Consider the following 26,530-nt stretch of genomic DNA (forward strand, 5'->3'; position numbering starts at 1 on the left):
ATTGAGTATAGTTTTAGATTACCCTTGAAAATGCCTTAGGAAGGTGTCTTATGAGAGACTGGCATACTGTCTCTTAATAAGTCCAACATAGCTGATCTTCCTCCAGCAATAAAACATATTACTGGATAATAATCTTCATACCAAATAAAGAAGCTGACATGCATTTAGGGCACAGATGATATGAAAAATCAAATGGTTTAACATTCATACTCAGTGTGGTAGGACGGACATACTATGAAAGATTATTCAGGAACTAAAACAGAGTGATGCCACAAATTTAAATTCCCCATCTCATACTCACACTGTACTTCAAAATTACCCCTCCATCCCCTTTACTTCATGTCATGTGCAAATACTTGAATATTATAAGAGAAGACTGTGACTTATTTGGCATAGATTAAAACAGCCAGTCTTAGGCTATCTGAGTTCAAATTTCAAGCTTCTCTTCTTCCTAGCTGTCTGTCCACAGGCAAGTTAGTTCCACGCTTTGGTTTCCTTATGTGTAAATAATAATAGTATATAACTAGGGCTACAGCACCGCACACCTGAAGGGAGAAACATTCACACTGAAGAGTATATGAGTAGTGCCTCAAGGCATATGCAGGCATACAACACAGCCTTGAAATTCAATCTACTCTCCAAGGGTTTTTGTGAGGAATAACTGAGATAAATACATGCAGAACATTTCGTACAGTGTTGACATGCAGCTGTCGAGAGGTATCAGTAGTAACTGGAACTATGCCATTGGCTTTCCTGGATCGGTGTGAAATCTTGTGGAAGACAAAGGCTGTCAAGCTCCCTATGAGCTAAACTGTGACAAAGGGCTAGAGAGCTGATATACCCTAACGGAGGACAATGAAGGTGTATTGTGGCCTTGCTGGATGAAAGCAAACTGCTTCTGCTGGCTTTCATTGACAGGGATGGAGAAAAAGGCATTTGCCACATCAACAGCTGTATACCAGGTACCAGGGATTATGTTAATTTGCTCAACTGATGAAACCACATCTGGTATAGCAGCTGCAATTGGATTCACTGCCTGGTTAAGCTTTCGATAATCCATCATTTCTCCAGGATCCACCTGTCTTCTGTACAGGCGAAATAGGAGAGCTAAATGGGGATGTGGCGGGAATCACCACTCCTGCATTTTTCAGGTCCTTGGTGGTAGCACTAATCTCCACAATCCCTCCAGAACTGCAGTATTGCTTTCAGTTTGCTATTTTTCCTAGAGGCAGTTCTGGTGGCTTCCGCTTGGTCTTTCCCACCATAATAGCCTTTGCTCCATAGGTCAGGGAACCAGTGTGGGGATTCTACCAGCTGCTGAGTATGTCTACTCCAATTTTGCATTCTGGAACTGGGGAAAAAACCACAAAATAACCACAGAATTGGTTATTTTCACATTGGGCCCACTGTGAGATGGGCATGAGCTAAAACTCATTGATCATCTGACCTCCACACAAGCCCCTATCCTGACTAGTAGATCACAGTGACATTTTTGAATGTCCTAGAATTAGTGTTGGCTTACAGACAGTGACTAGAAGTCCTCAAAAGTTCTGATTATTTTCTTTTCTCCAAAGCATAGTTACCGTATTAAAAGGCTGTAAGTCCCTTTGCGGAGGCTGGGGGAAAGTTCTGGCGGTATCCTGGGGTGTCTCCTCAAGGGGACCTACACACTCCCCTTCACTCGAGGTACTGTGGGTCTGGAAATTGGCTCAAGTCTGGAAACTGGTGCGATGTTGACTCACTGCAACCTCCACCTCCCGGGTTCAAGTGATTCTCCTATCTCAGCCTCCTGAGTAACTGAGGTTACAGCCACGCACCACCACACTCAGCTAATTTTTGTATTTTTAGTAGAAACGGGGTTTTGCCATGTTGGCCAAGATGGTCTCGACCTCCTGACCTCAGGTGATCCACCTGCCTCAGTCTCCCAAAGTGCTGTGATTACAGGCGTAAGCCACTACGCCCAGCCTCTGCTTTCTATTTTGACTCTGCTGTCTGATGGTAACTCTGCCTACTACTTGGTGTTTGGCAGTGGGGTACCACCAGTTGGCCCCTGCCACCCTGGGATCGAATTACTCCTACTACATTTAGGTTTCCCAATTCAGTGACCAAAGTTCCCACTGTATGGTCTGACCTACAGAGAAGAGTGATCACAGAGCTCTTGAAGGATGCTGGGGCTTCCCGACAAATATGTTTCTCGCAGTTGTGGTGAAAGGTGAGTCATGTGGACACATAAAATTCACAATTACATTACCGTAAGTCACCCCACCCCAAATTAACTCGTGAGTAGAGAATAACAAAACATAATTATAAACATTCATCAGTCGAGGGCTGGGGAGATAATGCAATATATTTCATAGAATCCCTTTAATGTGGAAAATATTTCAATTCATTTGATACCAGGTTTACAGATCAATAGTGTCAGACTTACACTACATATCTAGAGCCATTACCCTCCACTGCTTCCATAGACTATCTTGTTATCATTTAGTTTGAACTATTTCTGAAATGGTTAAATATTGTCTCTATCTGTACCTATTGCCACAAAATGACATGACTTTGAAAGTCACTTAATGTATGAATTTGTACATGAAACTGTTTCTTTTCAACTTTAGCTTTTAGTGCTATGTGAATCTCTGTGCTTATCTATGAGTTCCTCTCCATTTCAATTAAACATTAAAAAAAAATTTGTGTGCACATATATGTAATTTAACATGTATATATTATAAGGTAGGTGCTTTTTGCCCTTTCTTTATCCACACCCTTTTCTTCTCCTAACTGCTTCTAATAAAGAAATCAATTTTTTAGGCCGGGCGCGGTGGCTCACGCCTGTAATCCCAGTACTTTGGGAGGCCGAGGTGGGTGGATCACAAGATCAGGAGATGGAGACCATCCTGGCTAACACAGTGAAACCCCGTCTCTACTAAAAATACAAAAAATTAGCCGGGCGTAGTGGCGGGTGCCTGTAGTCCCAGCTACTCAGGAGGCTGAGGCAGGAGAATGGTGTGAACCTGGGAGGCGGAGCTTGCAGTGAGCTGATATCACGCCACTGCACTCCAGCCTAGGTGACAGAGTGAAACTCTGCCTCAAAAAAGAAAGAAATCAATTTTTTAGAAATTATAATTTCAATGAATAAAGGTTTATTCTTAGTCTTTGATTTTTTTTTCTTTTTTTTTTTTTTTTTTTTTTTTTGGAGATGGGAGTCATTCTGTCGCCCAGGCTGGAGTGCAGTGGCATGATCTTGGCCCACTGCAACCTCTGCCTCCTGGGTTCAAGTGATTCCCATGCCTCAGCCTCCCAAGAAGCTGGGATTACAAGTACGCACTGCCACGCCTGGCCAATTTTTGTATTTGTAGTAGACATGGTGGCCAGGCTGGCCTCAAACTCCTGGCCTCAAATGATCCACCCGCCTTGGTCTCCCAGAGTGCTGAGATTACAGGCATGAGCCACCACACCCAGCCCTTAGTCTTTAACTTTAAAGATATATGAGTAAAATATTTGTAATGTTTTTTTTTTAAAGAGGGCTTTTAGCTTTTCAAAATATTTTTATTTTATTTTGCCAGTGACTTAGTGTGTCTAAAGGAAAGGTTTCCCAATCATTGTTTAGGCTGCTATACAAACCTGGAACAGAATCTCTCTTCCTGTTATTGAGGTTATCTCCCTTTTATTCTTGAAAGTCTCATTCGAAATACACCTATCAGAGTTCACTCAGGATATTTTCTACTACTCTCCTTTTCATAATGCTGCTGTTTCTTCTTACATTCTCCTTGAAACTCTCTCCTCTTTTGCTTCCATAATATTTTACTGTCCTCATCCTTTTTCTGATTATCTTGAATCCTCTTTTTATTTTGCTAACTGGTCTATCCTTCTAAACATGGCCATTCTCCAAAGCTTGTTGCCCTGAATGCTCTCTCTCTATAGACTCTCCCTCACTTATTCTCTCAGTATCAGACATTATCTCTGAGCTGACAGGTATCAAATAGCTTGCCTGAGTTCTGTTGTCTCACCAAAGATCTGGTTACTCAATTTCAATATTTACTCCAAATTTTTTTTTTTTTTTGAGACTGAGTCTTACTCTATCGCCCAGGCTGAGTGCAGTGGTGTGATCTCGACTCACTGCAACCCGTGCCTCCTGGGTTCAAATGATTCTCGTGCCTCAGCCTCCCGAGTAGCTGAGATTACAGGTGTGCACCACCACACCCAGCTAATTTTTGTATTGTTAGTACAGACGGGGTTTTACCATGTTGGTCAGGCTGGTCTCGAACTGTCTCCCGAAGTGCTGGGATTATAGGCGTGAGCCACTGTGCCCAGCCTATTTACTGACTATTTCTAAGTGGATGCTCACTATAACCTCAAACTTAATGATTCAAAAACCATTCATCATTATTCTTTCCAAATGGTTTCTGCCTTCCAACTTCTATTCCATTCAATGGCATGAATGAGTATCACAGTCTTCTCAGCTAGAAAGATTAGACTCCCTGTGGCTCATCTCCTTTGTGTCAGAATAGAATAATGGGATATAGTGCAGCTCTGGATCAAACAGACTAAAATGTAATCCCAGGATTGCCATTACTTATTGTGTGGTCTTGGATTAGTTACTTACTCTCTGAGCCTAGATCCTCATCTGTAAAATGAGATTAGTAATATCTATTTCACAAGGGTGTGAAGTTGTGCACACAAGACATACTGGATAAACAACAGCCCCTCTCACATCTAGTTACTTAGCAAATTATGCCTATTCATCCTTTGCAGGTCTCTGACAGATAATTCTACTCCCCATTCTAACTCTTAGTCATATCTGGATTACTCTAATAACCTCTTTGCAGTCTGCACTAAATCTAGCCTTTCCATCCATCCATCCATCCATCCATCACTATTGTCAAAATAATCTCCTTAAAATATATATCTTATCAAATCATATTCTTATTAATGCAATTTTCAACAGCTTCCTATTGCCCATCAATCAAAGCTGTTCAAAATCTATCCACTCAAACCTACTTCAGCGATTACTTCCCTGACAAGCTATGGGTAAACTGGCCTCCCCACCACTCCCTTCCCCACACACCAAGACCTCTCCCACCAGCATGCTGCTGCTCAGGTTGTTTCTTCTCTCTGCTCTCATGGATAATCCCCTTTCCTGACCACTGGTTGTATCTGAAATCTGTACCAGGTACAACTTCCTTATGCTGTAGGCTGGTTCTTATTTCCCTTTACTGCTCAACTTACATGAATCCTCTCTCCCCACTTTGATAGTTTGTGGTTTATTACTGATGACTCCTCTGTCTACTACAATGTATCACTGTGTAACCAAGCAGAGGAAAACTTTCAGATGGATTAAAAGAATGAGACAAATGAGAGAATTATTATCATGTTTTCAATCAATATACTTGAGTATTTAAAGGTAAAGAACTGCACTGTTTGTCTATGTTGTATCATTTTTTTTTTTTGAGACAGTCTCACTTTGTTGCCCAGGCTGGAGTGTACTGGTGTGATCTTGGCTCACTGCAACCTCCCCATCCCGGGTTCAAGCGATTCTCCTGCCTCAGCCTCTCGAGTATTTGGGACTACAGGCACGTGCCACCATGCCCAGTTAATTTTTGTATTTTTAGTACAGTCAGGGTTTTGCCATGTTGGCCAGGCTGGTCTCAAACTCCTGACCTCAGGTGATCCACCCATCTTGGCCTCCCAGAGTGCTGGGATTACAGGCGTGAACCATAGTGCCCAGCCATTATAAATTTTTATCAGCCAAAAGAGAAGTTTCTTGAAAATAAAGACAAATGATTAACTTTTTCCGCATTCTCATAAAAATCAAACACATTAGCCACTTAGTCTAATTAGTAATACTTATATTATTTTATAAAGTTATTTAAAGTAAAAACCTTAATATACCTTTGCTTTCAATAATAGAGAAAAATGATTTTGAGGCAAGATACGTATCTAAGTTCCTCAGGGGAATTTTCTCTAATTCACATATTTCTCCCTAAGCAAATGCTTCCCTCCTTTCTACTGTCTTCTCCTAGCTAACAACTCTGCTATAATAGTAAGCCACTGTGATTGATGAGCCTATGCCACAGTGTTTAGTAGATATACACCAAAAGTTTCAAAAAAAAATGGGACAATATGGTTCTAATCAAGATCAGAGGTAAAATAATTTTCAGTATCTCCTACAGGCAAATTCCTCAATATGCCTACCATAATCTGCTGGTGTATAATTCAGAAGTTCAAATTGCCAGTGTTTATAGCACGAATAATTCTGGTACATGTCAAATATTTCTCGGGTAAATTGTTGGCAGATGTCACCTAAAACAAAATACGAAAAATATTTAGTCAGGACAAATTTCGGAAAGCCACCCTTAAGACTAAGTCCTTTAGGAAATAAAGAATAACTATTTCCAAATTTAAATACATTTAATGGACTTTTAAAGTTAGTGTTATCAAATAAGGTAAAATTCAAGGACTTTTTAGATCATTTAAATAATAAAGTAAGTTTACTGACCTCCAGTAGTCCTTCCAGCTGTCACCTCTAAAATAACATCATTTTTGTCATATTTCTCCTTTGGCACAAGGCTCTGGAAAAGCTGGAATAAAAATCAGCATTTGTGTGTATATTTTCCCCGGTACACTATTACTGAATTAAATAAAGGCCCGAAAAACATTGAAAAAAATCAATAATTGGCAAAATCATATAGTATCCCAAACAGGGTATTCCAAAAATGCTATAATAAGTAGAACTAATTAGACCTAAAATAGGTGATCAATTCATGTTAACAATGGAGTTACTTGTCAGTATATTTTCTGCACTGTTATCAGATTATCTTAATTTTCTAGAATGCAGAAGTTCAGATCAAAGTCCAGGGTGTTCCATTCAATTTTCTTCAGATTTTGGCGCTTATAATTAGTTCTGAACAGTAGCTTCTTTCATCTAATGAATGAAGCAAGGCTTTGAAAGTCTTCACTTTGAGAAATGATTTCATATTATCTTCTGCTATAACTGACAGCAGACACCAGCCATGCTGTGCCTTCTCAGCAGAGACGCTCTAATTAAAGACTATGTTGAGGGCTCCCAAGATAAGGCTCAAAATGAGTTTCTCAGCTGTGACCAGAAAGAAAAAGGGCTTCCTAATAAAGAAAGTAACCGACATTCCTCTTAGGAAGAAAAGGGAAGTAATTTCATTATTACTAAAAGGTTTTTCAAATCAAAGTAAAAGTACCTATGTGTCATGACTGTCCCTACTGCCAATTTCTGAAATACTCCATCTCTGCTAGAAATGATATAGTCTATGGGAGAGAATATGAGACAGACTGAGAGTCAGACATCTTCTGCCTTTGATTAACTGGTTCAATTTGTAATAAAAATAACTGATATCCCATGTAACCTCCCCCTTAACTTTTCAAAAAGCCCCTCTATTGGATTCCCAGAGTAAGAAACACTGAAGGTAGGAGGACGGCAAACGTGACAGAGGGAAACATGGTATACAGTAGTGTGTTCTTCATTGTCTTTGTAGACAAACCATCCATTAAGCAAGAATGAAAAGAGACCACTATGGAAGGGAAATCTTCCATTTCCATGTCTAGGAGATATCAGCTGATGCTGATACAGTATCATCAACCCTGAGAAGCTCCAGTATGCCACACCCTTACTAGACCTAACTAAAGATGTGTGTTAACCAACTATTTTTACACCTTTGGATTCATTCCATTCTATCCAGAGTGCAAATTTCCAATCCTTAATTAACAGCCACCATGAACTCCTCCTCCTCTTCTCACTCTTAAAATCCTCTGACTCTTCCCTGTGGTGAACTAAATTTCTTTACCAGCACGTATTCTCTTGCTTAACAAGTTAACAGACTCAACTTTGAATTTTTTTTTTTTTACCCTGGGAGTCTTTATTATTTGACATCGTAATTTCTTCATTCTCATTCTGCAGCAAATTACAGGAGACCAGCTTGATCACTTATCATAAGAGAACACTTAAAACAGTGTTTGGAAACCACTATGAGCACCGAAGCAGAGTCTAGCAAAAACAGCATTCCTTTATACAGCACTATTGAAACTAGTCGACCTCTGAAAACCTACCTCATTGTACAACATGTTGATTTTTTGATCAATGGTTTGCCTTTCTTCCAGTGCAAGTTCTTGTAACTGCTTTTCATCTTGTTTATTTAGGCCTAAAAGCCAGAAACAGAAATAATGATAAAGTTTTTAAATACTTACAGAGAAACTCCTAAGTAGCCATGTTCCTCTTTGGCTACTAAGTTTTATTTCAGTTGCAAAGGCAAGGGATTATACAAAGGAACATTTAGAATATTTGGAGAATGTCAATTAACAAGTATTTGCTAAGCATTTCCAAAAAACTCAATGTGAAAAGCAATATAATCGTGCTTCCCAAAACCTTGTGTTTTTTTTTTTAAAGGTAAAATAGCTTAAAACATTTCATCTCTAATCAATCTATTAACAGTAGTAACAAAAATATGCTTAATATAGAAACCCACATTTACAAAGCTCGTTATTTGAATGTCTATAATTATATAAATTGGTGATTAATCAAACAGGTTTAAAAAGCTACTAGCTAATTAAATATAAACCCAAATAAGATAAGATTTGGAGCAAACTGGAGTGAGCATTTCCTGTCCAAAGGTAGCAGCTGTAACTCAGCATACTGTGACATGGTCCAGCACAGCTACAACTTCCATATTATCCAAGAGAAGTCAGAAATAAGAATTCTTAAAATCTCTTGATACATTCATACTCAGTTCACATTGTTTTTTTTTTAAGAGAGATGAGGACTCACTATGTTGCCCAGGCTGGAGTAGCTATTCTCAGATGTGATCATGGTACACTACAGCCTCAAACTCCTGGACTCAAGCGATCTTCCTGCTTCAGCCTCCCAGGTAGCTGAGATTACAGGTGCGTGCCACTGTGCCTGGCTTAGTACGGTACTTTAAAATACATATCATGGCCAGGTGCGGTGACTAATGCCTGTAATCCCAGCACTTTGGGAGGCCAAGGCAGGCGGATCACTTGAGGTCAGAAGTTCGAGACCAGCCTGGCCAAAGTGGTGAAATCCCATCTCTACTAAAAATGCAAAAATTATACAGGCATGGTGGTGCACGCGTGTACCCCTAGCTACTCGGGAGGCTGAGGCAGGAGAATTGCTTGAACCCAGGAGGTAGAGGTTGCGGTGAGCCAAGGTCATGCCACTGCACTCCAGCCTGGGTGACAGAGAAAGACTCTGTCTTTAAAAAAATAAAATACATATCACGTGTGTCAGACAAAACATACATTTTTGTAACCTGTCCTGTATGGAGAAAATGGGCCTTTTTCTGTTATTTCCAAAGGAGAAAGTTAAATCATGGAACTCTAGCAAAACAAGATAACAATGATCTAGTTATTGACCAAGGATGGTAGACCTCATGACCTTTGACTCCACTGCTTTAGAGGCTTGGAGACTTTATTTGTCAGTGGCCATTGCTGCAAATTGAGGTAAAAAATTCCGACCCTTAATAATAAAGAAAATAGAAATGAAGAATCACAATTATAAAGAAGAGAAGACTCTTTTAAATTATTCTCTAGTCATGGAAGTCATTAAGCTCTGGTGGGATTCTGTGCCTCATTCAAGCTTTCAACATTTAACATTTTGCTAGACACTCTGCTAGTTGCTGGGGAGACAACGAAGAAAAAAACATGGCTTCAGGCCTCAAGTGGCCCAGTCTGGTGGCAAACACATACACATGATTACAATATGAGATGGGGGAGTGCCAGTGTGCCATAGGGGCATAAATGAAGGGGACTAAACCAGACTTTAGCAGTTAATGAGAGCTTCCTGGCTAAGGTGTCATCAGAACTAATTCTAATTACAGACCATCTGTTGTAGAATTTTTTTTTTTTTTTTGAGATGGAGTCTTGCTCTGTTGCCCAGGCTGGAGTGCAGTGGTGTGATCTCGACTCATTGCAACCTCCGCCTCCTGGGTTCAAGCAATTCTCCTGCCTCAGCCTCCCGAGTAGTTGAGATTACAGGCGCGCACCACCACACCCAGCTAATTTTTGTATTTTTAGTAGAGACGGGGTTTCACCATGTTGGCAGGCTGGTCTTCATCTCCTGACCTCCTGATCCACCCGCCCCGGCCTCCCAAAGTACTGGGATTACAGGCATGAGCCACCGCACCCGGCCTGTTGTAGAATTTTAATGTCACCACTAGTACCACATTGTGCACATATGCCACAAATGGAAACCAGGCTGACATTACTTAATAGAGATCTGCTGATTCAAAGGTATCAGAAAAACCTTCTGATTTGCAATCATATAAAATTATTTTTGTGTTCTCTTATTATTTGCTGTAAACCTGTAGAATCCGTCTAATTCAATTTTATTATATCAACAAAGATTTGAGAACCTATTATGTCCCATGTTTCATGCTGCAGAAGATAGAAAAATGAGTAAGACACAGGACCTGACCTTGAAGAACAGACAATGGGGTTAGGGGCTGAGGTTAAGACAGTTACATAAAGGATTATAATACAAAACAGAGAAAGGTAACCACACTTGTTTTGCAAAGGGTACTGAAGCCAAAGTATGACATCTCAGCCAAGCTTTGTAAGAGGACTGGCTTTTAACAAGGTGAACCAGGCATGTTAACAACGTGGGCAAAGATACAGACATGGGACAGCACGAATATATCCAGAGAATGGCAAGTTGTCTATTTTGGTTGGAAGGCAGAATATGCAAAGAGAATTAACATAGTACATGGAGAGGCTGGGGTTAATCTGCAGGGGCTTTTAAATACCAAACCAAGAAATCTCTACTTATAGACAATGGGAACAGGTGAGTAACATGAATAAGATTGTACTTGAACTAGAACGCCTAGAGGTAGGGCTACAAGTTAGGAATTGATTGCAATCAGCTAAGTCAGAGATGTAATGAAGATATAAATTAGTGGAAGGAATAGAACAGGACTCATGCAAGCTACATCACAAAGGTAGACCCTGCTGGACTTTGAATCATCCATCAAGCAGTGGATAAGAGCAGAGGCTTTGGAATCTCATTGCTTGGGTTCAAATCCTTGCTTCTCCCCTCGCTGGCTGAGTGATCTTTGCAAATTTAACCTTTCAATGTCCTCATCTATAAAATGTATAAAATGAGGGAAAACACAGGCTGGGCAACACAGTGAGACCTCATCTTTACTAAAAATAAAAAAAATAGCTGGGAATGGTTGCACACACCTGTAGTCCCAGCTACTTGGGAGGCTGAGGTTGGAGGATTGCTTGAGTCCAGGAGTTCAAGGTTAAAGTGAGCTATGATTACACTACTGCATTCCAGCCTGGGCCACAGAGCAAGACTCTGTCTCTTAAAAGAAACAAAAAGGGGGAGGGGGAATAATCATATATCCTACCTCATAAGGTTACCTGAGCATTCAAATGAGATAATATTTGTAAAGCACTGAGCTTAGTGCCTAGCACATAAGAGGACTTTGTAAATGTAGCTATTATTACTATTATTATAGAAAAATTGTAGAGGTAGTAGAGCCTTTAGAAATGATGTAATCCAATCTAATATTATACATGATACAACCAAGGCTGAAAGAAGTTATGCCAATTTAATTAGAATGCATTTCATAAACTTCTACTATACACAAGCAACCTTCTCAAAACTAATTAACTACAAATCTGTGTGGCATTATGCAAAAGAGTAAAAAATATCTCCATTAAACGTACGTAAGAGACTTGTGGTACCATCAATAGAAGGCAGAAAAATGGAAGGCTTCAAAAATCCAGGACTTTACAGGTATAACAGTGACTGGCCTGTGTATCACATAATACTGCTAAGGCTAAATGAAACAAAATGAAGCACAGAAGAAAATCTAGAAACTAAAAGTTAATAGCCAAATCTGGATAAATGTTGAATCATAGGTTAGTTCATTAAACTTTTCTCTCAACTTCTGTATAAAAATTTTCGAAAATTTTCATAAGAGAAAAAATGTAGAGGCAATAGCAGTATTGAGAAATACTAAAATAAAAAACTAAGATAAAAAATAGCCGGTAGTCCCAGCTACTCAGAAGGCTGAGGCAGGAGGATTGTTTGAGCCCCGGAGTTTGAGTGAGGGACCATCTCTTAAAAAAAAAAACAAAAAAAAAAAACATAAAAAATAAATACACCATATACAAAAATAACTAAAATAGATCAAAGACCTAAATGCATGGGATAAAAATAAAAAATACGTCAGTCTTGTAAGAAAACACAGATGTAAACCTTTGTGCCCTTAGATTAGGCAATTTTCTTAGATACGACTCCCAAAACTCAAGCAACAAGAGAAAAAAAGATAAATTGGACATCATCAAAATTTAAAAATATCATGCTTCAAAAGACAGTATCAAAAAAGTGAAGAGAAAACCACAGAATGGGAAATTTTTGCAAATCATATATCTGATCATGGACTTTTACCTAGAAGATAAAGACCACTCACAACTCAATAATGAAAAGACAATTAAATTTAAAAACTGGCAAAGGATCTGAACAGTGATTTCTCCCAAGATGATACACAAATGGCCAAATAAGCACCAGAAAAGATGCTCAACATCATTAATCTTCAGGAAAATGCAAATCAAAACCACAATAACACACCACTTCACATTCATAGGATGGCAATAATTGAAAGGGCGGATAATAAGTGTTGGCAAGTACGTGGAGAAATATGAACCCTCATACACTGTGTGTAGAGCTGTAAAATCGTTATAGTCACTTTGGAAAACAGTCTAGCACTTCCTCAAAAGGTTAAACATAGAGTTACCACATGAACCAGCAATCTATGTCCACAAAACAACTTGTACACAAAAGTTCACAGTATCGTTATTTATAATAACCAAAAAGTGGAAACAACTCAATGTTCATCAACTGATGAATGGATAAATAAAATGTGGTATATCCATACAATGGAATATAATTCAGTAATGAAAAGAAATAAAGTACTGGCTGGGCATGGTGGCTCATGCCTGTAATCCCAGCACATTGGGAGGCCAAGGTGGGTGGATCACTTGAGATCAGGAGTTTGAGACCAGCCTGGCCAACATGGTGAAACCCCGTCTCTACTGAAATACAAAAAAAATTAGCTGGGCATGGTGGCAGGGGCCTGTAGTCCCAGCTACTTGGGAGGCTGAGGCAGGAGAATGGCGTGAACCCGGGAGGCGGAGCTTGCAGTGAGCCGAGATCCCGCCACTGCACTCCAGCCTGGGCGACAGAGCGAGACTCCGTCTCAAAAAAAAAAAAAAAAAAAACATAAAAATAAAAAATAAAAGCTTCCTTCCTGGTTCCACTAATGCGCAGTCCCCTCCAGGAAGATTTACCCAATCAATCCAGGCTGGTTTGAGTGCCCTCTCCTCTTTGCTCCCATGAAACTGTGCCTCCCTCTAGTAGAGCAGGTCTCACATTATAAACAATACTTAAATAAGTTTCTCTCACTGGACCATAGAAGCCCACTGATGGGGTAGGAACTGTATGTGTAGCCCTAGTATGTAGGTACAGTGTTCAATAAAGGTCTGCTCAATAAAATAAAGCTTCTGAAAAGACCAACATTTTGTCTCCCAGACCTTGAGACCACGGGAAGTACCACGAGGAGCCTGTTTACTTAGTACATTGATCTTTAGTAGCTAAAGTGTGTCAAATACTCTGGGTACAGAGTCCTGTTCTTTCCAAGTGTTGAGCTTATTACTTGTAGGTTTTTTTAAAAGACTGAGTTCAGGCCAGCCTCAGTGGCTCGGTGGCTATAATCATATCGCTTTGGAAAGCCCTGGCACAATAGTCCTAGCTACTCAGGATGCTGAAGTGGGGGGCCAGGACTTACAGGTTACAGTGAGCTACGATTGAGTCACTGCACTCCTGCCTGGGCAACAAGTGAGAACCTGCTTCTGTGGGAAAAAAAAAACAAAGACTAAGTTCAATAAAGCTTTAACTTAGAAAATCAAATCTGTACTTACACACACGCATATAAGTGTGTGGTTTTTTTTTTCATAGCCCTTATGCAGGACACATAAGTATCTTTTACCTACTTTTACACATTGATTCTAATTCTTCAATTGCTTGTTCAGTCTCCTGAATTTCTTGGTAAATGGCTGCAAGAGGTGCCAACTCAGCATGCCTTCTGTTCAAGGACCTTCGGTTTTCCTCATTCACAGGGATATGCTGCAGACATTGCTCAAGTGTTTGGTACTCCTTACTCAGGTTCTCCATATATTTCTGTAGTGCTTTATGCTTCCAGAGCATCTTGGTGTCTTGATGGCAATATCTCCTGGACCAATTCTTACTTAACAGATGAAGAATGCAATTCCTGTTTTGTCTAAAAACTTGCAGCCTTGTATCAAGATGTATCTGTCTAAATTGATGAGAATGGAGCTGGATGTGACACTGGAGGTAACCATTAAGAGATGGATGTCTAAAAAGCCAAACACACAGGTGACGATTCATCTCAGCATCTGAAATACAATAAACACAGTCTTTAAAAAAAAATCATCTCTAAAGATACATGCATAATAAACCTGGAAGGAACATCAAGAAATCTTGTTTCATCTACTGCCTCAGCCAGCTCCACAGTCTTAAAATTCAACTGCCGGCTGGCAGCAGTGGCTCACGCCAGTAATCCCAGCACTTTGGGAGGCTGAGGCAGGCGGATCACCTGAGGGCAGGAGTTCGAGACCAGCCCAGCCAACATAGTGAAACACTGTCTCTACTAAAAATACAAAAATTATCCGGGCGTGGTGGCAGGCGCCTGTAATCCCAGCTACTCAGGAGTCTGAGGCAGGAGAATTGCCTGAACCCAGGAGGCAGAGGTTGCAGTGAGCCGAGATCATGCCATTGCACTCCAGCAAGGGGGACAATACCAAGACTTCGTCTCAAAAAAAAAAAAAATTCAGCTGCCTACAGAAAGAACATAATTCTTCAAATGTATGAATAACATATTAAAATAAATAAAAACAGCACTGCTTCCTACCTGTTCAACATATATAATTAACTGAAGCATATGAGTAGGAGTACAACTAACAAATATATCAATTGAATGAGTTAAGTCAGTTATTTTCTAGAAAGTATCTAGAATCTAGAATTGAGTGTGTAAACAAGCTCTTGAAAGCTATGAAAACATACAAACTTAAGGCGGTTCATAAAGTCATTTTCTAAAGTTTGAAGAAAATATTATTATCTTGTATAATTCTTTAACTTTAAGGATCTAGATATCCAAGGAAGTCAAGTAACTTAATCACGACTATTCAGTCGGCTGGATGGAGACAGAGCTGGTATTAGAATGTAAGTTGCCTGTTCAGGACTCAGTAATTTTCACTCTCAATTGTGCAATCACTTTTCAAAAATGCTTCCCGTTTAGCTGAGATCCTAAAGGAAGAAAAGTTCAAGTATTAATAGACCAAGAAAGTAGGGCTGGTGAAAAGCTCTACAGTTATATTAAATGGTGACAATTATATTAAGCAAGAAAGGCAAGGAACAAAATAGAATCTCAATTACATTTAAAAAATATTCTACAATATAAGGTATACATGTAAAAAAAAAAAAGCACATAGAGTATTTTTTAAAAAGAAAGTTAAATAAGAAACATACCAAAATGTGCCGAGCACAGTGGCTCACGCCTGTAATCCTACCACTTTGGGAGGCCGAGGCGGGCAGATCATCTGAGGTCAGGAGTTCGAGACCAGCCTGGCCAACATGGGAAAACCCCATCTCTACTAAAAATACCAAAAAAATTAGCTGAGCGTGATGGCACACACCTGTAGTCCTAGCTGCTCGGGAAGCTGAGGCAGGATAATCGCTTGAACCTGGGAGGCGAAGGTTGCAGTGAACTGAGATCGCACCACTGCAACCAGCGTGGGCGACAAAGCAACACGCTGTCTCAAAAAAAAAAAAAAAAAAAGAAACATACCAAAATGTTAATAAAATGATCTCTAGTTGTGAGATTATGAATACCTTTTGCTTGCTATTTTTTCTACTTTTCAGTGTTTTCCAAGTTTCTTGCACATGTAGCATGGAATACTTTCCTAATCATAAAAAAAGATTAGTTTAAAAAATTACAGGTTAGGTGAAATTGGCTGTGTACAATAATTTTCTGTTCTCCTCCCCTCCAACAGAGATAATCAAGAGCTAACAAAAGTACACAATGGTCTTACTGAGTAAGAAAGGGAGAATATAAAGTGTTCTAAGAAAACTCTAAGGTTCAAAGTTGAAATAAGGGTCAAGCCACGCACAGTAGCATGCACCTATTGTCCCAGCTACCCAGGAGACTGAGGCAGGAGGATCACTTGAGCCAAGGAGTTCAAGGCCAGCCTGGGCAACACAGTGAGACTCAACTCAAAAAAAGAAGGATCAACATTTATCAAAATCAAACTTTACTGTCTCCAGTGATCCTACTATGCTAGGAGGTGCATTGATATATTAGCTCATTTGTTCACTATAAGTCTGTTAACTTAGCATTATCACCTAGGAAATAAAATAGTCAGAATGGTCTTTAAAATATTCAGTTTCCAGAGTTCTACTGATAGATTTTAGGATACTGCATCACATTATTAAAAGAACTGTTGAAGAAAGCACCAATGGCCAGCTGTCACAAACGTTACACTCCACCACCCCCGTATTTCAAGCACGTTAGAGAAAGTGTATCCATTTGCTAACAGACAGAATAAAAGGATGACAAATATATGTTTGTACGAATACTTATTGCTAAAATTTCCATTTTAGGAACAGTAGTAGAATGCATAATTTTCAAGGTCATGAATCTCAACATTAAGGAAAACAAAACAAAACAAGATGTTTACTCTCCAAGGTTAACTACACCTGAGAACAGCACGACTTCTCCATTACCCATCACAGTAACAGTATTACTCTGATGCTTTGGGGAAAGTTCTGAGTGTAGGCAGGTCAGAAGCGACAGCCCGCGGGGCAGCAGCACGGGCAAACCATGCTGTGTAACTCAGTATATGGAGTGATTCCATAAAGAGGCAATACAGGAGGCGGCGGGGAAGATCAGGAAAGAACTGTGAGTACCTAAGAAAAAGAAGAATACACGTTAGCTCTCTTTACTGAGGTCGGAACCTTCCGAGACCCGCCACATTTCAGCCCGACAAACCCGAGATCACGTTCACTTCCTGGTTCACTTCTTCCGGGTTAACGCACGCTCCCGGCCCCTCCTCCGCCACTACCGCTCTCCGGAGGAGTTGTCCTCGAGCATGCCTAACAATGGACTAAAATGACAAAAATGAGCTAAATGAGAAAAATGACAAAACGAGAATGAAATTGTCATCAGACAACCGCCCCCGCGCCGTCCTTATCCAGAGCGTGAGCCCAGAGCGGGGATGGAGATGGTGGGAGGGAGGGAGGGAGGGAGGGGCCAAGGTGGGACTAAACTACAACTCCCAGAGCGCCCACCAAAGAATCCTGGGAGTTGTAGTTTACCTTGCGGCAGCCTCCAACCCCCTCCACTCACTATCCAGCCAAATGTGGAGTTTTTGGTTTTCACCGTTAACTGCAAACCTAGAAGAGAGATTCTTTACGATTCTGATTAAGAGATCAAGATTTAGAACACATTGCATGTGAAATTACAATAATTTCCTTATGTATTAGAAGCCCGTAAAGCACTGTTTTCCAATATTTAAAAAAAATAAAGACTCCTTTTACATCATCCACAAATGTAGAAGATTCTGCGTGTAATTTCTATACTTTCAGCTTCCATTGCTTCAGAAAATACCTAATGACTAAAGGATAATACAAATAAATTTATATTTTAAAAGTAGTAACAGCCCCAAAAGTTAGGAGACCGTGTATTTCCACATGTTAGTGATTTTATAATGTTCTTTGCACATGGGAATGTAGGGGCTCAACCTAGATTCATAGCTTATGAACCACTGATTAAGTGAAGAATGAAAACTCCAGTTAATAAACAATTGCAGGAAAATGCAAGCATATTGTCCTACTTTGACTAATCCAGTGGGATCCAGCCCTTGGCTATCGCAATTTACAGTCTTTCTATCTCCATGCCTCAATTTTTCTTCCTGAAAGAAAAGGCAAAAAATGTACCATATTACTGACTTTACAGAGTATTTTCTTAGATTATAATCACATACATAGATAGGAGAATTAGCTATATATGCAAAATAATATCTAACGTTTATAGCCAACTTCAAGGTACCTACTTCTATGTACTATGTACTAAATACTGTTCTAAATGGTTTTACCCTATTAATTCATTTAATTTTTACAACCTTAAAATACTTATTTTGCAGAGGAGAAAATTAAGGCACACAGAGCTAAAGTAACTACTCCAAGGTAAAAAACAGTAAGTGATAGAGCCAAGACTCAATTAAGGCAATGGCTTTAATGATCTGTGGCTCCTAAGCTCTGATATAGGGCCACCCTGCTCCAAAAAAGAAAAAACCTTCAATCATGTATTCAATAAATAGTGAACACCAGTTATGTGCTATTCACTATTCTAGTCATGAGGATTTAGCAATGAACAGAAAAGACAAAAACCTTTGCCCACATGGAGCTTATGTTCCAGTAGGGGAAAAGTTTCAAAGGGTCTACATAAAGTCATTCTCCTAAGTTATCCAAAAAGTTCTTTAATTATTTATTCTGATTTGTGCTTTCAGCTATATAACTTGAGTATTATATATAAAGCTTTATTCTCCTTAAAAAATTAGTCTTAGTCGGGCGTGGTGGTTCACGCCTGTAATCCTAGCACTTTGGGAGGCCGAGCCAGGTGGATCACCTGAGGTCAGGAGTTCGAAACCAGCCTGACCAACATGGAGAAACCCCATCTCTACTAAAAATACAAAATTAGCTGGGCGTGGTGGCTCATGCTTGTAATCCTAGCTACTCGGAGGCTGAGGCAGGAGAATCGCTTGAACCCAGGAGACAGAGGTGGCAGTGAGCCAAGATTGCACCATTGCACTCCAGCCTGGGCAACAAGAGTGAAACTCCGTCTCAAAAAAAAAAAAAAGTAGTCTTACTGCTATGGACTGAATTGTTTATATTCATAATCATGTGCATATTACTAATATTTATTTTTAAAATTCATATATTGAAGCCCTAACCCCTCCAATACATGTGTCTGTATTGGAGATAGGGCCTTTAAGGTGATTAAGGTCAGATGAGGTCGTAAGAGTAGAGCCCTGACATAATAGGATTAGTGCCTTTCTAAAAAGGCACCAGAGATCTTGCTCACTGTCCCTGCCCAAACAAAGAAGAGGTTACGTGAGTACACTGTGAGATGGTGGCCACCTACAAGCCAAGAGAAGAGGTATCAGACTGAAACCTACATTGCTGCCACCTTGATGTTAGACTTCCCAATCTCGCAAGAGGCTAAGAAACAAATTTCTGTTGTTTAGGCCACCCAGCTGGTGGTTTTTTGTTTTTTTGTTTTTTTGTTTTTTGAGGTGGAGTCTCGCTCTGTCACCAGGCTGGAGTGCAGTGGCCTGATCTTGGCTCACTGCAACTTCTGTCTCCCGGATTCAAGCAATTCTCCTGCCTCATCCTCCCAAGTAGCTGGGACTACAGGTGCACACCACCACGCCCAGCTAATTTTTGTATTTTTAGTAGAGATGGGGTTTCACCATGTTGGCCAGATGGTCTCAATCTCTTGACCTTGTGATCTGCCCACCTCAGCCTCCCAAAGTCCTGGGATTACAGGCATGAGCCACCACACCTGGCTTTTATTTTTTTTTAAATAGAGATGGGGGTCTCACTATGTTGACTAGGCTGGTCTCAAACTCCCAGCCTCCTAAAATCCTGGGATTACAGGTGTGAGCTACTGCACCTGGCCCAGTCTATGGTTTTTTGTTATGGCAGCCAAGTTATTCTGACTATGCAGAACAACTTAGACATTTAGAACTCGGGCTGGGCGTGGTGGCTCACGCCTGTAACCCCAGCACCTTGGGAGGCCAAGGCGGGTGGATCACTTGAGGCCAGGAGTTTGAGACCACCCTAGTCAACACGGTGAAACCCTATCTCTGCTAAAAATGCAAAAATTAGCCAAGCACAGTGGCACGCACCTGTAATCCCAGCTACTCAGGAGGCTGAGACATGAGACTCACTTGAACCTGGGAAGTAGAGGCTGCAGTGAGCTATGGTGCCACCTCACCCCAGCCTGGGTGACAGAGCAACATGCTATCTCAAAAACAAAAACAAAACAAAAAACAGTGAGACTTTATCTCTTAAGAAAATTACAGCTTTTTAATATTATCTAATGTCCAGTCAGTGTTCAAATTTCCCTGTGATGCCGGGCGCAGTGGCTCACGCCTGTAATCCCATCACTTTGGGAGCCGAGGTGGGTGGATCACGAGGTCAGGAGATCGAGACCATCCTGGCTAACACGGTGAAACCCCATCTCTTCTAAAAAAATACAAAAAAATTAGCCGGGCGTGGTGGCAGGCGCCTGTAGTCCCAGCTACTTGGGAGGCTGAGGCAGGAGAATGGTGTGAACCTGGGAGGCAGAGTTTGCAGTGAGCTGAGATCAGGGGCCACTGCACTCCAGCCTGGCCAACAGAGCGAGACTCTGTCTCAAAAAAAAAAAAAAAAAAAAACAAATTTCCCTGTGTCAGATTTTTTTTCTCTTTTTTGTGGCATTTTGTTTGTTAATATCAGGATTCAAATAAAGTACATAGATTGCAATTGGTTGTTATATTGTTGGTTTATTTTAATCTTTAGATTCTCCTTTTCTTCTTTTTTTTTCCTTGCAATGTATTTGTTGAAGAAACTGGATCCTTAGCCCTGAGGAGTTTCACACAGTTAAGATTTTTCTAGACTTGTGGTATATAATGTGTCCTTTGTTCCCTGTATCTCCTGTAAACTGGTCTAGAAACTTGATCAAATTCAGGTTTAAATTGTTTTTGGCAAAACTACTTCATAGCTGTGGTTATGCTCTGTGGTTATGTGTACTTTGCTTATGGGAGTCTCTTAAAAGTTATGTCTTTTAAAATATTAGAAGCTCTTCATTGCCTAGATCCATTTTTTCACTAGGTGTGGCAAAATGGTGATATTTTATTACTCATTCTTCATTGATTAGCTAGAACCTCTCAGCTATTGATTGTCTTTGCTTTGTCATTTTTAAAAGGAAAAATAAAAACTTTTCTAAAGTAAAAAAGTGATAAAAAGCCAGGCGCTGTGGCTCACACCTGTAATCCCAGCACTTTAGGGAGCCAAGGTGGGAAGATTGCTTGAACTCAGGAGTTTGAGACCAGCCTAGGCAACATGGCAAGACCTCACCTCTACAAATAAAAAAATTAGCCAGGTGTGGTTCTGTGTGCCTCTGGTCCCAGCTACTTTGGAGGCTGAAATGGGAAGACCACTTCAGCCTGGGAGGTCAAGGTTGTACTGAGCTGTGATTCACCACTGCATTCCAGCCTGGGTGACAGAGTGAGAAACTGTTGAAAAAAAAAAATGGCGATCAAATTAAAAAGCTTGCTTTCTGAACAATTTCTAGGATTTCTAATTTTTATTTTAATCTTATTATTATTATTTGTATTTTTGTAAAGAAGGGGTTTCATCATGTTGCCCAGCATCTTCAAACCGGTTGGCATCAGCTATTCCACTGAAATTCAGGCTCTGAAAACCATATTAAGCAATTCTTAAACAAATTTCTTATTATTCTAACATCAGAGATCCTATCTATAAGAGCAATGGGGATGTAAATTAATCCTTAAACAAAAGCCTTATAATTCTAACATCAGAAATGCTATTGATTCAGGAATTAAGAAGAAATCACTTAGGCAGATAGTAATGGTATGGGAGTAACCACACACCATTTCATATTTGACAATGCTTCCTGTGTAATTTTTATACCAAATAAGCCAAATTATGTCATTTTTGGACTTTAGGGAAACCAATATCTTAAAGGATTAATTAGATCAAAAAAAGACTTAATTTATAATTTGATTTTAGAAAGTTTGTCAAATATCGAAGGTTTAAAAACATTTGATATCACAGATCATCGTAAGTCATTCTCGGGAGGCTGAGGAAGGAGAATTACTTGAACCTGGGAGGTGAAGATTGCAGCAAGCTGAGATCACGTCACTGCACTCTAGCCTGGGTGACAGAGCAAGACTCTGTCTCAAAAAAAAATGAAAGAAAAGAAAAAGAAAACATTTCCTTTAGACCTTTAAGAAAACATTTTAGCATCAGGCTACAACAAACAGAACTCAAGGGGAAACAAAACTTATATGAGCTGAAAATGAATTGAAGAAGAGTGTTCCTATTTCACGTCCTTTAAAAGGGGAGAGAAAACCAAAAACAAGATGCAATAAAAGTTGAACTTTCTGTTAAGAAAACTATAATCTCCTGTAATTTATTGAGTAAATCAATCCCTTAAGAAAATTAATATTATTGTTCTAATTATTTAGTGTATAAGTGTTTTCTTTTTTTACATCAAGCCCAATCCCTGGAGAGACCATTATAATTTCTCATTAATTTTAGATAACTTGATCATATAAAAGTTTTCAGTTTTTTTCTTATAAATCCTATTCTTGTGACTTACACAGACCATTCATGACATGCTTGGACTTTCTGGTTTGACGTGACCATCCCTTTTTTTTTTTTTTTAAAACCAGTCATTTTAGTCTAGAACTAAATTTACCATACAAGATTGTTTCTTATATAAAATTATTTCTCTTTAAGCTTTCTTACCAAAAACAAAACCTCTTTATTTTTATAACTTCCTTTACATCTCTCTTATTTCCTGGTTCCTTTTACCTTGTTTTTTTTTTTTGGTTTTTTTTTTTTTTTTTGAGATGGAGTTTTACTCTTTTCACCTAGACTGGAGTGCAATGGCTTGATCTCGGCTCACTGCAACCTCTGCCTCTCGAGTTCAAGCAATTTTCCTGCCTCAGCTTCCCAAGTAGCTGGGATTACAGGTGTGCGCCACCACACCCAGGTAATTTTTGTATTTTTAGTAGAGACAGGGTTTCACCATGTTGGCCAGGCTGGTCTTGAATTCCTGACCATGTGATCTGCCTGCCTTGGCTTCCCAAAGTACTGGGATTACAGGAATGAGCAACCACGCCCAGCCCTTTTACCTTATTTTGTACAAAACCTTTAAATAAGCTTTCAATTAGACAAAAATTGTTCACTTTTTTAAAAAGGACACACTTTATTATTAGAATGTTTTCCTACAATATATTTTTGTTAGAAAATACCCAAATAACAAAATATCTATTATTTAATTTAATATAATTTTATATTCTAAATTATGAGTTTTTCTACATTTATCCCATTACATTTACCTAATTATTTTATTTTAATCATTTACCTATTTTAGTTATGAAAACTATGATAGTCATGATTTAAAGTTATGAAACTGCCATTGCAAAATTATAACTGGGACAGTGAAAAAGATCTGACCTAACTGACTCCATCTTGCTTCTAACCTCCAGGCTGTCCTTGTTCATTCCTGAGCGTAGGCCAAACTAACTTTGGGAGGAACTTAGTTTATAGTTTAGCTTTGAAACAAAGATAACAGTCCTTTCCCAAAACAAACTTTACTGCCTGTGGACTAGACTGCCTAAAGCCACAAGATTAGAAATTATAGTAATCTTACTAAATTTAAGATGTAGCTATTTCCATTAAACCAATATCAATGTCTTGTTTATTAAAAATTACATAAGCAAAGTTTATTCTATCTTGGGCTGGGTTTATAGTTTTGTAACCCCTATGCAAAATTTTGAAACTTTATAGTATTTGGTTAGGATAATTATGAAATTTCTTGATTAATAAATGCAAACAAAAATTTATGTTGGCAATTTTTATGACATTTCTAACATTACCAATAATTTTAAAACTAGCTTATTTATTAAAGATTTTACTTAAGTTATGTAAACTTGAAAAAGCATTTAACTAGTCTTTTTTCCTGATTAAAATATTTGATTCACATATTTTTATTTTCTTCAGTTAATTAATTAGAGCTCTTTTAGACATTTTCAGTAGTGAAACATTGTGTACATAACACATAAATACATAGACATATTAGGGATGCTGATAGAAGTACATCTTACAGATTCATGAACAGCTTTTTTTCTCTTATACTTTCAAATTCTTGATAACCTGTCTCACTACCCTAGGCAGTTGTTAGCTAAATAGCTTTAAATTTGCATATTGAAGGAAACAACTTAGGTGAAAATCAAACAGCAAAATTTACATGATAAGGTACAGAGAGAAAAAGTCTGACATGCTAGAGAAAAATTAAAATGAATGTAATTGCTAATTAAACATAAAACTATATAAATTATAAAGGCTTTTTATTATTTTTTATTTTTTAATTTAATTTTTTTTTGAGACGAAATTTCACTCTCGTTGCCCAGGTTGGAGTGCAATGGTGTGATCTCAGCTCACTGTAACCTCTGCCTCCCTGGTTCAAGCTATTCTGCCTCAGCCTCTCAAGTAGCTGGGATTACAGGCATGCGCCACCATGCCCGGCTAATTTTTTGGATTTTTAGTAGAGATGGGGTTTCACCATGTCGGCCAGGCTGGTCTCGAACTCCTGACCTCAGGTCATCCACCCGCTTTGGCCTCCCAAAGTGCTGGGATTCTAGGTGTGAGCCACTGCTGCCAGCCCAAAGGCCTTTTAAATACACACACACACACACACACACACACACACACACACACCCCATATAGCTTTTACTTCAAAGCTTTAGATATGAGATAAATACAAATTCACTGGCTTGCAAAAAACCTGTTGGATCCAAACAGTGGTTTTTATTTTAATAGACAAATAACAGCAGATTCAAAGCAGGCAGAAAAGAAAATAGAAAAGAGAACTTAGGAACTCTAGAGTTTGCAGGTTGACCTTAGGGCTCTTTTCCCTTAATGTAAATGTGCACAAAGACCATACTACTTCCATTTTACATAAACTCTGGCAAGTATAGAAGCCATGAAACCTACAGAATGCTCAAAAGGGGGTCATTCTCCTTGCTTTCTCCTCATTCTTAGAGTATTTGTTTCCCACTTTTTTTCTTAAAAGGAGGAACTGAGCTGTGGCCTAGGGTTTTTGTGTAGTGGATCGATGTGTGCTGCTTGTGGGCATGACAACACAGTGTGCCACCATTGAGTCGTTTCCATCGTCTTTCATGTTTTAGTTTCTCTCTCCAGAGGTCTAAGATCTCCGAGAGGGCTTAAAACACCTGGTGATCAGCCCTTATGTGCATTTCCTGGATGAGCCTGTTTAAAAATTAATTTTTGTTTGGGATTTTCCAGTAGGGCCGCTGCACATCACAGGGGTCAACCCACAAGACACTCTCACAAGGCCCCTGGTCACCCAGGGGTGCCATTCTGCTGGGAGGAGCAAAAGCCCTTTTTCTTTGGAACTGAGAAAACTCAGTCTCCTGTTAACCTGTGAAAACAACCGTTCATTTCCTCATGCAAATGCACACAGACAAGCTGAATTGAGATCAACTTGAGGAGAAAAAGGAATAGAGAAGACCCTTTAGAAAGCAGCTCTGAACTAGAATCAGGATCCTTAAACAACAACTTCCTAGGAGAAAAAAACAAAAAACACAGCCAAGACCACTTCCTGTAAACTGTGCTCAGCCACCCCTAACTTTGTAGCTCTCATCTGCCATTACACATGCCACAGTCAAATCCTCTCACAGTACAAAGTAATCTCTGGTACCCCCAAAACCAAAGAGATCAGGTCATGTAAAACAGACCTTGAAAAACAGAGCTTGAGACCTAAGAACAATCTGCTCATGACTCTTGAAACTTTACAAAGAAAACAGAACACCACAAAAAGTGTCAGTGGTGCCTTTGTTCTGAATTCTTTACAGGGATTCAAGTCATTAAAAGCCTTCTTTAGATTTTTTGGTACCGCAGATGGCAAAGGGGAAGGAGGTATAGGGTGGAAGAAAAGTAAATGAAAGAACATTGTTTGTTGTTTGTTTGTTTTAAAGATGGGAAGCAAACATAGAAACCAAGTGCATGATTTTTTGGTTTTTGTTTTTCCTCTTTTGCAGCTGTGAGGAATTTTAGCCAAATTAGAGAGGCTTTATTACCCATATCTTGGAATTCTCACTCAGATTAGACCAACTGAGGTAGAGTTGGTCAAATCTGATGAGAGAAAGACTGTAACAACAACAACGAAACCCAACAATATGATCACATCACTGAGCACTCTAATGGTAAGGAGAAATTAAGACCAGCTTATTGTTAAACCAGTCAAGACAAAATCCCAATTCAGCAACTTACCTAGCGATGGGTCTCAGGCTAAAGACTGCCTTCTACCATCCTAGAAGCAAGAAAAACACTTGAACTCATCTTCCCTGCTGGGTGCGAGTTCAAACTACATAAAGGATTTACTTACCTTCCATCGTCATGGAAGCAGAAAATTTTGCCTTCTTTGTTGGAAGCAAGTAAAATGCCAAAAAAAGGCAGGCGGGGGCAGGGGGTGGGTAGTTGCACAGCAAAATAAACTTTAGATCTTGACCAAATTTTGGGAGATCAGGGATTTTCTGGAGGGGTGCTCCCAGACCTCAGCAAATTGTCCCATGGATTTGAGCCATAAAA

General features: G+C 39.4%; 1 protein-coding gene across 30 annotated transcripts in view, besides 2 other annotated features; it reads right to left on the reverse strand.

Annotated features, from left to right (window-relative positions):
• The window catches only part of MTRF1 (mitochondrial translation release factor 1), a 95,670-nt gene that overhangs the window by 30,087 nt on the left and 39,053 nt on the right, over positions 1-26,530 (reverse strand). For 3 of the 30 annotated variants that reach the window (XM_011535317.3, XM_017020861.3, XM_047430799.1), the window contains exons 1-6: positions 17,112-17,351; positions 16,820-17,029; positions 14,038-14,460; positions 8,074-8,165; positions 6,494-6,575; positions 6,190-6,297 (exon numbers count right to left, since the gene is read on the reverse strand). In XM_011535317.3, coding sequence (XP_011533619.1) covers positions 6,190-6,297; positions 6,494-6,575; positions 8,074-8,165; positions 14,038-14,460; positions 16,820-16,850 — 736 coding nt within the window. In that variant the 5' untranslated portion in view covers positions 16,851-17,029; positions 17,112-17,351. Of the gene's footprint in view, positions 1-6,189; positions 6,298-6,493; positions 6,576-8,073; positions 8,166-14,037; positions 15,881-15,955; positions 17,352-17,437; positions 17,516-17,955; positions 18,034-26,530 lie in introns of those variants that run through there. The other 27 variants (XM_017020859.3, XM_011535326.4, XM_047430800.1 and 24 more) reach the window with 22 other exon arrangements.
• Positions 16,539-17,039: an enhancer, noted in NCBI's record as "H3K27ac hESC enhancer chr13:41837130-41837630 (GRCh37/hg19 assembly coordinates)". NCBI's record gives its function as "activates a minimal SCP1, AML or CMV promoter by ChIP-STARR-seq in primed H9 embryonic stem cells {active_cell/tissue: H9 hESC(primed)}" and the evidence as "EXISTENCE:reporter gene assay evidence [ECO:0000049][PMID:30033119]".
• Positions 17,327-17,416: a silencer, noted in NCBI's record as "silent region_5290". NCBI's record gives its function as "represses an Ori minimal core promoter by ATAC-STARR-seq in GM12878 lymphoblastoid cells {active_cell/tissue: GM12878}" and the evidence as "EXISTENCE:reporter gene assay evidence [ECO:0000049][PMID:35858748]".

The sequence above is a fragment of the Homo sapiens genome, chromosome 13 (genome assembly GCF_000001405.40).
Source record: "Homo sapiens chromosome 13, GRCh38.p14 Primary Assembly".
NCBI lineage: Eukaryota > Metazoa > Chordata > Mammalia > Primates > Hominidae > Homo > Homo sapiens.